Source organism: Homo sapiens, chromosome 20 (genome assembly GCF_000001405.40).
Source record: "Homo sapiens chromosome 20, GRCh38.p14 Primary Assembly".
Classification (NCBI taxonomy): domain Eukaryota; kingdom Metazoa; phylum Chordata; class Mammalia; order Primates; family Hominidae; genus Homo; species Homo sapiens.
Genome location: NC_000020.11, coordinates 34,012,670 through 34,027,019, shown reverse-complemented (window position 1 = coordinate 34,027,019; position 14,350 = coordinate 34,012,670). Strand labels below are relative to the sequence as shown.

The window sequence follows — 14,350 nt, the reverse complement described above, 5'->3', positions numbered from 1 at the left end:
TGGGTCATGTAGGATTAGGGTCTTACGAACTACCTGCCAGGCTCTGTGTCAGCCTAAGTATCTGTGAGTAAATAAAGGAATAAACAAAACCTGCCCGGCAACTCTTATTCTGAGGACTAGAAGTCCAAAATCTCAAGCTCCATATTCAGAGTCTCAGCCCCAGTATGAATATCAACCGAATATCTACTAATCTGTTGGCTTAAGGTGTCCTTTTCCCATTCTTGTTTTCACAAGTCAAGGGAGATGTAAGGAGTGCAAAGGCAGGGAGCAGAGAAAAGAGGATGGGAAAGGGGTGAAGGGAGAACAGGTAAGGAAGGAGACACCTGAGCAGGTTTAAAATGTCTCAGGTTTAGAGGCCAAGGCGGGCGGATCACGAGATCAGGAGATAGAGACCATCCTGGCTAACACGGTGAAACCCCGTCTCTACTAAAAATACAAAAAAAAAAAAATTAGCTGGGCATGGCTGGCGGGCGCCTGTAGTCCCAGCTACTCAGGAGGCTGAGGCAGGAGAATGGCGTGAACCCGGGAGGCGGAGCTTGCAGTGAGCCGAGAACACGCCACTGCACTCCAGCATGGGCGACAGAGCGAGACTCCGCCTCAATAAATAAATAAATAAATAAATAAATAAATAAATAAATAAATAAAATGTCTGAGGTCTAGACTTTGGAAAAGATCTTTTTCCTTCCGATACCAGAACCAAGGACTTTTATTTAAAAGAGAAGCAGCAGGAATTCCTCTTTGTAAATGTTAAATGAAGGGAGTTTGCTTGTCCAAACTCCAAACTAAATGTGTCAATAGGAGGTAAAGTGAAACACTTATCGACAAGTTGCTCAGGGCTCCAACCCTCAGCCCTCACTATTGCCCTGCCCCAGCCCAACCTCTGCCAGGTTTAAGCTGAAGCCTGCAGAGGTCAGAAGACAAGCAGGTTCTTCCTCTTGTCACAGCTTCCTCCTCTACCAGCATTACTCCAGGCTAACAAGCCTTGGGAGTATATCGTTCCTTGTGGCTAAGGGGTTACTGACATCCTCTGGACCTTTCTCCAGTAGCTCCCCATCATGAAAGCTTTGTTGAAAAACCTTCCTTATCCCCACCCCCCACAAAAAAAAAAAAAAAAAAAAAACAACCAGGAATCTACTGCTGGAAGCTAGGGAAAGGAGCCAGGAAGTGAATGAAGAGTGAAAATTATGGGAAGCCTGGGTGTGGACATCAAAGGGTGGGGAATCAAGCAAACGGTCTGGGACAAGAGAAAGGGAGCATTCCCTGGGGACCGAAGACGATTTTAACAGAGGAAATAATCTCCTACATTTGTAAAACAATTTTTTTTTTTTTTTTTAAAATAGCATGTCCCTACAGAACTCTTGTTGTTTAGAATAAGCAAGCTCCAGGGCCTGCAGGAAGACTGACCGAAAGGTGTTGGGCCAGGTGAGGTGGCTCACGCCTGTTATCCCAGCACTTTGGGAAGCTGAGGTGGGCGGATCACCTGAGGTCAGGAGTTCGACACCAGCCTAGCTAACACGGCTAAACTCCGTCTCTACTAAAAATACAAAAATTAGCTGGGTGTGGTGTGGTGGTGCATGCCTGTAGTCCCAGCTACTCCAGAGGCTGAGGCAGAAAAACTTGAACCCGGGCAGCGGAGGATGCAGTGAGCTGTGTTTGCACTACTGCACTCCAGCCTGGGCAACAGACTGAGATTGTCTTAAAAAAAAAAAAGAGAGAGAGAGAGAGACGTGTTGCTGAAGGGTTATCTTCCTCAGGAGAGAGGAAGAGAAAGGGAAGCTGCGTTCTCTAGGCCTCTGGGGTGGCAACCAAGGCACCAGTGAGCAGCCACGGGAGATAATCTCAGCCTAATGGCTCCAGGCTCCCTCAGGCAGGGCTCCCCTGAAGGCAGCCTCCAACGCATTTCTGCTAGAGTCAGCACTTCAGGGCTCACAACCGACCACACACAGGGAGTAAAAGACTGGCACAGGGCAAAGGCACAGGGCAAATAGCCCTTGTCCCACAAGCCAACTTGCCAATCTATTTGACAGTTGGGTTCCAGCTCCCCCTAACCCCTCAGCCTCAAAACTGCCTCAACCCTTCTGTAAGGCTTGCTTATCCCAGCCTTTACTAAACCCCATGGTCTTGCAGTTCTCCCAGACTCCTCCCCTCACAAGGATACCTGACCTTGACTCTTGTGACTGGCTCTACTGTATGGTTGCCTATGCCCAGGCATAATAAAACTACTGGCTGTGTTGCTGTGGGGGTAAAAAAAATGACCTCACAACATAATAAAAAATGCAGCCAGGACACAAAATGGGTCAGTAAAACCCTCCCATACTCCCAAACAAAGACAGGTGTCAGGATGCCCAGTGTATCAAAAAGTAGGCCCTAGAGGACAGCTGGTTTCTTAATGACAGGTGACATTAGGGGTCTTGAGCCCAACCCATGTTCACGTATGAGAACATAATGCATGCCATAAATAGATGAAACTCAATCTAGGCAGTCTCCAAGCTGCCTGGAGGAACGTCCACAGAATACAACAGATGTGCAAGACAATCATTCTTGCCTCTGCATTTTCTGGGCAGCTAACAGCATTTCTCCTTTCTCAGCTGAAGCTATCTCTAGTTTTCCCCTCCTCCTTCCCTAGAAGATCCAACCCTGCAGGAATTATCAAGGGAGGCACGAGTAATTACTGTTTTCTTTTCTCCATGCTAATGAGACAGTTGGATGGTTCCCCTTCCCCCTCTTGAGCTGGAAGTGAGAATCTAAAGCTTTATAATCAGTAACCAACACACCAAAGCTCCGACCAGACACTGCTCTGTGCAACTGAGACTGTGTAGAAAATGGCTTTCATGCCCCTGATGAGACCAGAGTTGGAAGGGCTCAACCATTTTATAAAAAGGGAGGTAAGACCAGAGCAGGGAGGGGAATCTGTCCAAAGTCACAGAGGGAAGTCAGTGGCAGGGCCAGAACCAGTCTCCTTATTCCCAATCAGGCCACCTCTCACCTCACTCAGACCATGTTGGCCAGGCTGGTCTCGAACTCCTGATAATCTCAGGTGATCCGCCCGCCTTGGACTCCCAAAGTGCTGGGATTACAGGCGTGAGCCACCACACCCAGCCTGTCATTGGTTTTTGAATACCTATTCAAAAACTGATATGTAAGCTTGAAATTTGCAGTTCCAGCCTCCACACTGAGGTCCCCTCCAAAGTTATTCTATACTGTATTAAGTCTGAGTGAGGTGAGAGGTGGCCTGATTGGGAATAAGGAGACTGGTTCTGGCCCTATTATACCATAGACTGACTGTGGGGCTCTTGTGATACTCCAGCATATGATCAGTGCTGACCATAAGGCTTCACTTTCTAGAGTGCACAAAATTAGGTGCTTTATTCTATAAATGGGGTTAGCTCCACATGAGAGCCCCTGCCTTAGTCACCCGCTTAAGACTTCAGACCCCCACCCCCTCGAACTAAAGCCCAACTCAAAATCCAAGGACAGGCCTCCCCACCAATGGCCATTGTCCAGAGACTGCTTGCCAGCCTGGATGTCCACTTGGGTTTGCTGCTCTCTCCACCCCTCTGTAAGGAAGGCAGCATATAGTAGAAACAATTAGCAGATAGACCTAGGTTTAAGCCATGGCTCTCCCACCAAAACTGGGTATCCTTGGTGCTTTGACCACCGTTCACTTGCCTGTCTCTTCTACCACTCTTCCCTACTTGGGAGCAAGAAATATTCAGTTGTTTTCCTGTATCCACAATGAGTCAGTCACTGTCTACCAAATGATACTCTCTAAAACTTAAGTCCTCACATTTGTAAAATGGTGATTAAATCACCTACCTCAGAATAGTGAAGATAAATGAGGGGAAAAAATTACGTAAACTGCCTAGACTAGTGCCTGGCCCTTCTTCCTCTACTGTATCTTGGATTCCCAGGGCCAAAAGTTTGTCTGTACTGAACTACACAGCCCATCCTGGAGACATCATGCCTTGCTGACGGGGTCTGTTCCACTCTAGCAGTCAGACTGACTGCCAGTTCCTGGAACTCTACCAATAAAAACAGATACGACTACTCTCCTCACAGGTGAAGGTAGTGAATTTCAAGCAAATGATCTTTGAGCATATACTAATATTCTAGATTGAAAAGAGAGGGGAACTTTGGGGGAAAAAATGCTATGCTATGAAGCTGGAGGCTTAGAGAAGAAATCCCAAGTCCCAAAAAGTGGCTGAAGATAATCTGCACTGGAGCCTACAGAAGGGCCAGAGACATGAAATGAATTGCCTTTGGTCACATAGGAAGCTGAAGGCAGAAATGAGCTTAAAACTCACCACTGTGGTCTCCCTAGATGGTACTTTTTCCGTCCTTCAGGGCAGATGCACAGTGCTGAAGGAAAAAGGAAGTGAGGCATAGGAGGCTCAGTAGAGTGGCAGGGAGAGGCACATAGGGACATCAAGTGGCACTTACAAAGTTTCTGTTTGGTAAAGGTGACTGAGGGATAAAGCCAGCCTTTAGTTTCGTAGGGGCCTTATGTGCTCTGGCAGTTGAGGGGCAGAAACAAGTTCAAACTGGCCAGAACAAGTGTCAACAGTTATGGAGGGGAAAGGTATAGGGTGTCTCAAAGTATCATAAGCCCCTCCACCCACAACATCAGCTGCTTTGAGTGATCAAAACCTTCTGCCTACCCATCCCCAACTTCTCAACTCATACTATGATCCAGATTTTCTACGGTATCTGTCTTTTCCACTAGAGGGCCCTCAAACTTAAAAACTAGGGGTGAGGTATAAGGTATAGAGAAGAGAATAAGAGCTTTGTCCAGGCTGTGCATGGTGGCTCCCATCTATAAACCCAGCAGTTTGGCAGGCCGAGACAGGAGACCACCTGAGCCCAGGAGTTCGAGACCAGCATGGGCAGCCAAGTGAGACATTGTCTTTATTAAAAAAAAAAAAAAAGAAAGAAAGAAAGAAAGAAAAAAGGAAAGAAAGAGAAGGCTGAGTGTGGTGGCTCATGCCTGTAATCCCAGCACTTTGGGAGGCCAAGGTGGAAGGATCACTTTGGGAGGCCAGGAGTTGAGGACCAGCCTGGGCAACAGAGCAAGACCCGTCTCTATTTAAAAAAAAATTTTTTTTTAATAATAAAAAAACTTAAAAGAACAAATTAAAAAAAATTTTTTTAATAATAAAAAAATTTAAAAGAACAAATTTTTTAAAAAGAGTTCCGTCTCCTGAGGAAGATCTGACTGATGAGTCTTTTCTTTATTCTACTCACCATATTCTACTTATTATATTCACCCGAACTTCTGAGTTAAGTGACTGGCCCAAGGTCACGCAGCTAATAAAGGCAAATCAGGACTTGCCTGTGTATCAAGTATCCTTTTATGGCCATGACTGCTATGGTTTGAATGTGTCTCCTAAAGCTCATGTGTTGGAAACTTAATCCCCAAAGCAACAATGTTGAGACAGGGGACTCTGAGAGGCAACATTAGTGCATGAGGGCTCTGCCTTCATGAATGGATTAATGTCATTACTGCAGGAAAGTGTCTGCTATCTTGAGAGTGGGTTTATTATAAAAGTGAGTTCAGCCCTCCCACTCTCTCTCACCATGTGATGCCTTCTGCCAGGTTTTTATGCAGCAACGTGGCCCTCACCAGATGCGGGCGGCCCCTTGATCTTGGACTTCCCAGCCTCCAGAAGCATGAGCCAAACAAACTTCTATTGTTTGTAAATGACTCAGTCTATGGTATTCTGTTACAGCAGCACAAAATGGACTAAGACGGTGACTTTCAGCCTGGCACAGTGGCTCATGCCTGTAAATCCCAGCACTTTGGGAGGTCCAGGCAGGTAGATCACTTGAGGTCAGGAGTTCAAGACCAGCCTGGCCAACATGGCAAAACCCCATCTCTACTAACAATACAAAAATTAGCCAGGCGTGGTGGTGCACGCCTGTAATCCCAGCTACTTGGGAAGCTGAGGCACAAGAATCGCTTGAACCCCGGAGGCGGAGGTTGCAGTGAGCCAAGATTGCACCACTGCACTCCAGCCTGGGTGACTGAGTGAGACTCTGTCTCAAAAAAAATAAACTAATTAAAAAAAAAAAAGAAAAAGACAATGACTTTCAGCAAATTTGATTTTTATAGTTTTGAGCGGTAGGTAGGACAGGTGTTCTCTACTAAATCATGTCCCTTCTTCAAACACCTGCAATCCATTTCAGGCCTAGTTCTGACATTTATCTTCTCTTACAGAACTTGCATAACTACCTTCTTTCTTACAGGTCAGCAAACTTTTTCTGTATAGGATCAGATAGTAATTAGGCTTTGTGGGCTACCATAGTCTGCGTGGTATTCAACTCTGCCACTGTAGTGCAAAAGCAATCATGGATGAACAAATGAGTGTGGCTGTGTTCCAGTAAAACTTTACAAAAGAGGCAATGGGCTAGATTTGCCCCACCAGTTTGCTGACATGTTCTAACTAATCTGTCTCCAATCACCTGTTGACTAATCCATTATTCCTACCACAGTCCTGTAACCTCAGTGGATCCCCTTTGCCTACAGGATGGTTTAAACTCTACCCTTATTCATCCTCTACCACATCCTTTTCCTGCACACTGCACTCCAATCACACTGAGTTGTAATTTGGCAGCTTCTACCATTCCTCATGCTGTTCCCTAACATCCTCAATGACTTTCTCCATCCCTTTGCCAATATTATCTACTCAGAGACAAGTCCAAATGCCAACACCTGGGAGAAGTCTTTGCCAATGATTCCTCCCCTCACCCCCATGGGAGTTAATCCTTCCTCATGTTCCCTGACTAGCCTCCTTCCCAGGTAATCTGTCCAGCACATCCTCCACTTACATGTGTTACGGTGAACCTTCACATGCCTATCTAATTTACTGGGAGTTCTTGAAAAACAGGAACTGTGTTTCATATGTCTATACACTATTTTCAGAACCTGGTACACAGTGGGCACTCAAGCTTCCTTTTTTTTTGAGACAGAGTCTTGCTCTGTTGCCCAGGCTGGAATGCAGTGGCGGGATCTCGGCTCACTGCAAGCTCCGCCTCCCGGGTTCACGCCATTCTCCTGCCTCAGCCTCCCAAGTAGCTGGGACTACAGGCGCCCACCACTACGCCCGGCTAATTTTTTGTATTTTTAGTAGAGACGGGGTTTCACCGTTTTAGCCGGGATGGTCTCGATCTCCTGACCTCGTGATCCGCCCGCCTCGGCCTCCCAAAGTGCTGGGATTACAGGCGTGAGCCACCGCGCCCGGCCAAGCTTCCTATCTACCGAATAAAGCTTGCTCTGTCTTACATAATTTGTATGTGTATGGTTGTCCCTCACCCACCACTACCTCCCCACTCCCCCAGAATTCTAAGTTTCTCAAGAGCAGGGACTGTGTCTTACTCAACTCTGTGTCCCTTGCAGTACCTAACAGAGCACCCAGTGTCTGCCTACTGAACAGGCTTCTAAGCTGAGTAGATTACTAGAACATGGGGATCTTCGGTTCTAGCAGAAATGTGAGACGACCCACAGCATCAAAGAATCCTTCAGTCTGCTTTATGGGCTTGCCCCTACCTCCCATCCCATCATGTTTTCGGGTCTGGCCAGGTAACCACTTAAAGCAGAGGCCAAGACCAGGCATCTCACTAGGTTGCTCTCACCTGTGCTGAGTTAAAGGAACTGGAGCTATGTGAAGAGCAGAAGGATCCTTTTTTTTTTTCTTTTGAGACAGAGTCTCGCTGTGTCGCCCAGGCTGGAGTGCAAGATGCATGATCTCGACTCACTGCAACCTCCACCTCTCGGGTTCAAGCAATTCTCCTGCCTTAGTCTCCCGAGTAGCCGGGATTACAGGTGCCCACCACCAGGCCTGGCTAATTTTTAAAATATTTTTAGTAAAGACAGGGTTTCACCAACTTGGCCAGGCTGCTCTTGAACTCCTGACCTCAAGTGATCCACCCGCCTCGACCTCCTGAAGTGGTGGGATTACAGGCGTGAGCCACTGCGCCCGGCCGAGGGATCCTATTTTTAGACCTCCTTGTCCCTGGGCTCAAACTGTATCCTAAATACTAGCCCTAAACTGACCCCCAATCCGTATTTAGCCCTAGACCAGAAGACAGCCTTCTAACAAGTACAGATCCTTGGTTCCCCAAGGCAGGTGATTTCACTGAGGGAAAGGCTGCAGTTCAACCTCAACTGAAGAAAAAACTCAAAGGTATGTAGTAAGGATCATTAGGAGCTCCATCTCCGGATGCAAAGGAACCTCTATTGAGATTAGGGGTCCTGGGCAAACCTGTAGTCCACAAGTACAGCTATCCTACCTTGGGGCATTTGTGGGGTGGAAGACTAAATTGCTAATGGAAAAAACAAAACAAACACCAAAAGAAATTTTCTTCTAAACCCAGAACAGAACAACATTCCATCTGGGTAAGTGAGCTTGTCACAGGCAAGGGGTACTTAGCATATCTTCCATTCCAGGATTACGGCTGTCAAGTTTTAATTAGGGTAATTAGAGTTAAAAATGTAATTTCATTTCAGGGGTATTTTGAACAGATTCCATTAATTTCTTTCTGTAAAAGAACACAGAAAGGAGGGGCAGGCTGTGTGAAGCAGAAGATTTTGCCATGAGAGAAGCAAGGTTATTTGCCTGGGCCAGACGAACTTTCAAACCAATGCCAAGAACCACAACACCTCTGCAGGTCTGGCCCAGAGGACAGAGGACTGCTGCTCTTCAGGCTTCCTCCCTTCTCCCCCACAGAAGTCTAGAAATAAGTTTCAGTTGGTACTTGCTAATAAATCAATCTTCTCCTCCCTACCTGCTGCACCTGCATTACTGCCATCCAATGGCTACTACTACAACCTTAAATCTGGCAAAGGATAAGGGCTCAGAGCAGTCCATCTGTTTTGCTACACGTTAGGTACTGCTCTAATGCCCACCCCTTTACCAGTAATTCCTGGACACATCTTTATGCTTTTGTTTGTGCTGGTTCCCTGGTCTGGAGTGCCCTTCCTGGCTTAACTCTTACCCTTCATTCTTCCTTCAAAACACAGATCATAATTACATCCCCTAGGAGAACCCCCATTCATGCCTTTGGAATCTCAGAATTCCTTATAAACTCTTCTATCAAGGAACATACATTATACTGTGGTTTGTATCTTTGTCTGACTCTGATGCTAGATTGTGAGGTCATCTAAGAATCCCTAGCACTAGCACAAGCCCTGACACACAGGAGACACTCAACAAGTATCTGTTGAATGACCAACTATAGGAGGAATTTGGTCTGACCACACTGGCTGCTGAGCATGTTAAGCCTGCAGGTTCTCCAATGCATCCAGTTATGAATCCCTTCCCTCTCCTTGCACAAGGCCAGTTCAGAAACCTGACTCTGCACTCCGTAGAGGAGAAAACCTTCCCATTGATCCCAAATGATGATTGATCTCTCCCATTAGAGCCTGCTCACCCCTTAGGGAACTTGGAAAGGAGATGAGAAAGCAAGAGAAAGTAAAAGCAAGCAGAGCATCCCTCTCCACCCCCTGCACCTGCCTTACCACAGGTTTTAAAGAATTTCCTCCAGTCTTTGAACAGCTCCAGGGAGACAGCCTGAGCTCCCGTTCAGTCTGTAGAAGGGTAAGTAAGAGAGGGCCCTGGTAGAAAACAGTTCATCAGATTGGAATCGGTGTTGCAAATGCTCAGAAATGTATTAATAGCATAGTACAATAGAGATTATGCTATATGACAATGGGCAGCCAAGTCACTTCATTTTGACTTTTCTGAGCTTCAGTTTCCTTTCCTTCCTATGCCAGTAGGTTGCAAGGAGAAATAAACACAATGAGGCTCAGTATTTAACACTTAGTAGGTATTCAATAAGTGATTTTTCCATCTGAAGAGGGGGCCTATACGATGTACCTAGCATCACATTAGGTAAGAGTTTATAAAGGTGAGGAAAACACATCAAATAGGGATACAAGTTAACCATTTCCCCGTTTGTTCAGGGTAGCCCTGCCTGCTGGTCCCCAGGGGAGGTGGGCTACACCAGCAGAACTGTTGTATTGACAAGTGTAACCAGATCCATTTCACGGTAATCATTCTCCCTACCTAGGAGCACTGCTCCAGCCTCCTCCCAGGCTCCCCAGGCCTGGCTACAGGCCCATATTGATCCATTTCTAATTAGGAGCTGTGTCAGTGCTTCTGGCAGAAGGTCAGGGCCTGGGCTGCCTCGCTGGCCTCTGGCCAAATGCCCTAAAATGCCCCGCCCCAGGCAGACCCAGAGAACGGACACTATGAGGTAGAAAAAGATCCCAGACTAAACTCATCATAAAGCAGCATGAAATTTTAGAACTGAAAGGGTCCTTTATGAGTATAGGTTTTTAATATTTCAGTGGAGAAAGCTGATGTCCAGAAAAGAAACTTGTCCAAGGTGGTATCAGAAGATAATGCATATCTTTTTACTTCTAGTTCTTTCTCTAGATAAGTGTTTCCCAACCTGGCTACACAACAGAAGGACTCAAGGAATTCATTAAAAACATCAGTTTCTATGCCTGACCCCAGAGATTCTGATTTGGAACACATGCAGTAGCTTTGGCTTTCTTGTGCTAAGTATGGGGATCACCTTCCAATAGCAGTGAACTCAGGTTCAAACTCACCTTGGGTCATAAACAGTAACATTCAGAGGTAGCCCACTATTGTCTGATCCAGTCCTCCCCTACCCCCATCATTATACTAGCGGCCTGAATCCAAAGGATCTATCATAAATGGTTCCAACTTCCTAACAGTCTGCTAGCTTGGCTGTCAGCAAAGAACATTTCCTTTCAAAACTAGTCTGAAACTAAAATGTCTGTTATGAAGATACAGAAACCTAAGGGGTGGTGGTGACAGCACCTGGGTATAAAGAAATGTGGAGGATGCTGTGGTACTCGGTGTGTGGCATCTGGCACGGGCAGAGATTATGTGGGCATGTGTGGAGGGGAGGACTTGTGCGCAGATGTAAGGGAGTGAACAGTGTGGTGTCTGAGTTAGGCTTGCAGATACTTTGGTAGCACACACAATTCTGGGTATCTGGGTAGAAGACAGTGGGACAGGGGTGTAAGAGGGTAAATGTGTGCACATACGGGAGGAGGAGGAATAGATGGCTTGAAAGTGTAAGGGAGATACTTTGTGTATAGAAGAGAGGACATACATGCACATCAATTGTGTGTGTGTGTGTGTGTGCACATGTTGCAAAGCATTGAGCCTGTAGGGATGGGGAAAAGTAGGTGTCTGCCTCTGTGTGGCCTATACACCTGTATGCATGAGAAAACAGATCCATGAACATTCCTGACTCATCTAGCCCTGGCTTTGCCTGAAGGCTCCTACCACTCAAGGGCAAACCTATCTGCAGAAATTTCTCATTAAAATTGACATTTTGACAACTACGAAAAATAAAATGATAATGACACCCCCAGCACTGTGGGAGGTTAAAAAAAAAAAAGTCTATGCCAATAAAACACAAGAGACAGATGAGAAGCAATTATGCCTCAATTACTTCTCAGCTTCACAAGGGGAGGTGTTATTTGGAGTTAAACATTGTATGGCTGATTCACATCTCCACCCAAAGACTTGGATTTCTTGGGTTACCTAGGAAAAGTGCAAAAAAGAAGTAGGTAGAGAAAGGTAAATAAAGTTTTTTGCTTTTTTGTTTTTTTATGAAGGACTGGAGAAAGGGGGAGATTTAAAAAAAAAGGGGGAAATATTGAGAAGAAACAAAAAATAAAAGGCAAAAAGGACAAAAGAGGTAGGAAGAAGGGAAGGAAAGAATAGGAAGAAAAGTAAATATCCTTTAGGCTGGCCCACAGAGATTTAGCACACATTTGGCAGAAATTCTGAATAAGGGGGACAGGTGGATTAGTAGGTAGGGCCTGGCTTCCGTACTTCCTCATTACTTTTACTCCTACCATTCCTTCCATCTAGAATGTTCTTCCCACCATCTCTGCCAACTGAACTCCTGAATCTTTAAGGACAAGCTCAAATGCTACCAGCTTCTAGAAGCTTCCAAGATTTCTTCCAGTTAGTTCTCTCTCAAGAATTCCAGTAAATTTCCAGAGCACTTTGTCACATTTCTTTTTTTGACTTTGAAAAAATCTGATTTTATTTTCTGAATCATAAAGAAGTATTTCATGTTAAATTTAGACTGTTTAGCTTTCCACTGATATCTCAAGATACTTTCCAGATATTAACAGTACTCAGAACTGTGTAAAGGTTAACAACCAATACCATGTTTTAAAGAAAAAAGTTTAAATGTAAGACTAATGTCTTGGGGACATTACTAAATGTATTTCTAAGAAACCCTTCTCAAAGGTCAAAGTATTGGCAATTCTAATTTTAAAATTTTTAATTTTTAATTATTGGAAATTTAAGTAACAATAGTTTCAAGAGCTAAGAATCAGACTGCTTTTTAAAACAGAATTTTTTTTCCCTGAGGGATTCATACTTGACAACAACTCCAGTTAAACATAATACTCCACCCAAATCCCAAATTTAAATGCATTATTTCACCTTGGAATAGTAAAATTATAAAATGGAATTTCTAAATTATAATACATATACATAATCCACCACTTTAACTGTCACGTTTACCCGCAGAATTATGAAATCAAAAACAAACTCTACATTCAAGAGACAAATGATAAATGCTCTTTCATTGTTTTAAGCATCCATTCCATTCTTTGTTGTTTTCTACTCCCATATTTTAAAATTATGACCAAAGGACCAAAGGCCAAGTCAATCCCATTTCCCTGAATCCAACTGCCAGTAGGTACTGGCCCTACATACGCGTCCTTTAACAAGCCCCGTTCTCAAAAGGCTGGGGGTATTTATATAAGAACTTATTCCAAAGTGACTCTAAGATCCACGTTCCCAAGATCTAGTACGGGCTACTCATGTGTTCTGAGGCATGTCCAGCATGCACGCAAACTTAATCTGTTCAAATTGAGGTAAAACAGACAAAAAACACTTAATATTAACAGAAGCTACATAATTAAAACTAACCTTTTGCTGCTTATTTAAGCTAATTATGTATTCTTGCAAAACAGAGACCCTCAAGTCAATAATTTTTTATTTTAGTCACCCCCAAATTAAGCCTCTTCTTTAAAGCGCACTGTCATATTTCATCTGTAGCACTCAACACCAAACTATACTATAAGTATCAATGCATACACATTTCCATCATTCATTTTGTAAGTACTATTTGTGCCAAGCCTATTTCAGAGACACAAGGGAAATAGAGATAAGTAGCACACTATCCCCTGGCCTATACTGTCTCGATCCAATGAATGAGAGAGGATTTGGGTGTGACACAGCACTAGAGTACAACTACAGCAGTCCTAGAAGTCAAAGGGCCTGCTATAAATCCTGTATTTTATTTGATCAAAATTAATTCTGCTTCTGTAGTGATCAGGGAAAGCTTCCCTGAGGAAGTGGCATTGGAATTGATATGAAAGATAAACAGGAGTCTGTCAGGTAAAGGGGATAAGAAGATAAGGGGATTTCTACTTAGGGGAAATACAGATGCTGCTCAATTTACAACAGGGTTACATCCCAATAAGCCCCTTGTAAGCTGAAAATACTGTAAGTCGAAATGCCTTTTTTTTTTTTTTTTTTTTTTTGAGACAAGGTCTCGTTCTGATGCCTAAGCTGGAGTATAGTAACACAATCAAGGCTTACTACAGCCTCAACCTCCTAGGCTCAAGCGATCTTCCCACCCCAGCCTCCCAAGTAGCTGCTGAGACTACAGGAATGCCCCATTATGCGAGCTAGTTTTTTTTTTTATTTTGTTTGTTTGTTTGTTTTAAAAAAGAGATGAAGTCTATGTTGCCCAGGCTGGGAAAATGCATTTAATACACCTAACTTACCAAACACCCTAGTTTAGTTTAGCCTACCTTGAATATGCGCAGAACATTAACACTAGCCTTCAGGTGAGCAAAATCAACTAACACAAAGCCTATTTTATAATACAGTGTTGAATATCTCACATAATTTATTGAATACTTTACTGAAAGTGAAAACAGACTAGCTGTATGAGTAGTCCAAGTACCGTTTCTACTGAATGCATATCACTTTTGTAACCAACATAAAGTCAAAAAATCAGTAAGTCAAACTGTAAACCAGGGACTATCTGTAGTCAAAACAAAGTCATGATACAGCCTGGCACATCCAGGGAACCTTCTACTGGGCAGAAACACAGGGAAACAGTGGGTATTAAGCACTATGCTGCTGACAAAAGGCAGCAAAGTGATATGGCACCAGACTGCATGAGCCTTGCGGCCAAGGCCAGAGTTTAGATTTTATCCTTTATGACTTGGGGTGGGAATGGAGAAGAAGAGGGGACAGTTTCAAGATGTCTAGTCTCC

General features: G+C 44.4%; 1 protein-coding gene across 8 annotated transcripts in view, besides 1 other annotated feature; it reads right to left on the bottom strand.

Moving 5' to 3' along the window:
* RALY (RALY heterogeneous nuclear ribonucleoprotein) overlaps positions 1–14,350 on the bottom strand; it is a 90,974-nt gene that overhangs the window by 57,865 nt on the left and 18,759 nt on the right. The window contains exon 1 of one of the 8 annotated variants that reach the window (XM_047440015.1): positions 9,515–9,605. The exons of the other annotated variants lie outside the window; for them this stretch is intronic. The gene's annotated coding sequence lies outside the window, so the exon portion shown is untranslated. Of the gene's footprint in view, positions 1–9,514; positions 9,606–14,350 lie in introns of those variants that run through there. 8 annotated transcript variants of the gene reach the window in all.
* Positions 1,663–1,957: a silencer, noted in NCBI's record as "tiled region #13564; K562 Repressive DNase matched - State 14:Gen5'". NCBI's record gives its function as "represses a minimal TATA promoter and a strong SV40 promoter by Sharpr-MPRA in K562 cells {active_cell/tissue: K562}" and the evidence as "EXISTENCE:reporter gene assay evidence [ECO:0000049][PMID:27701403]".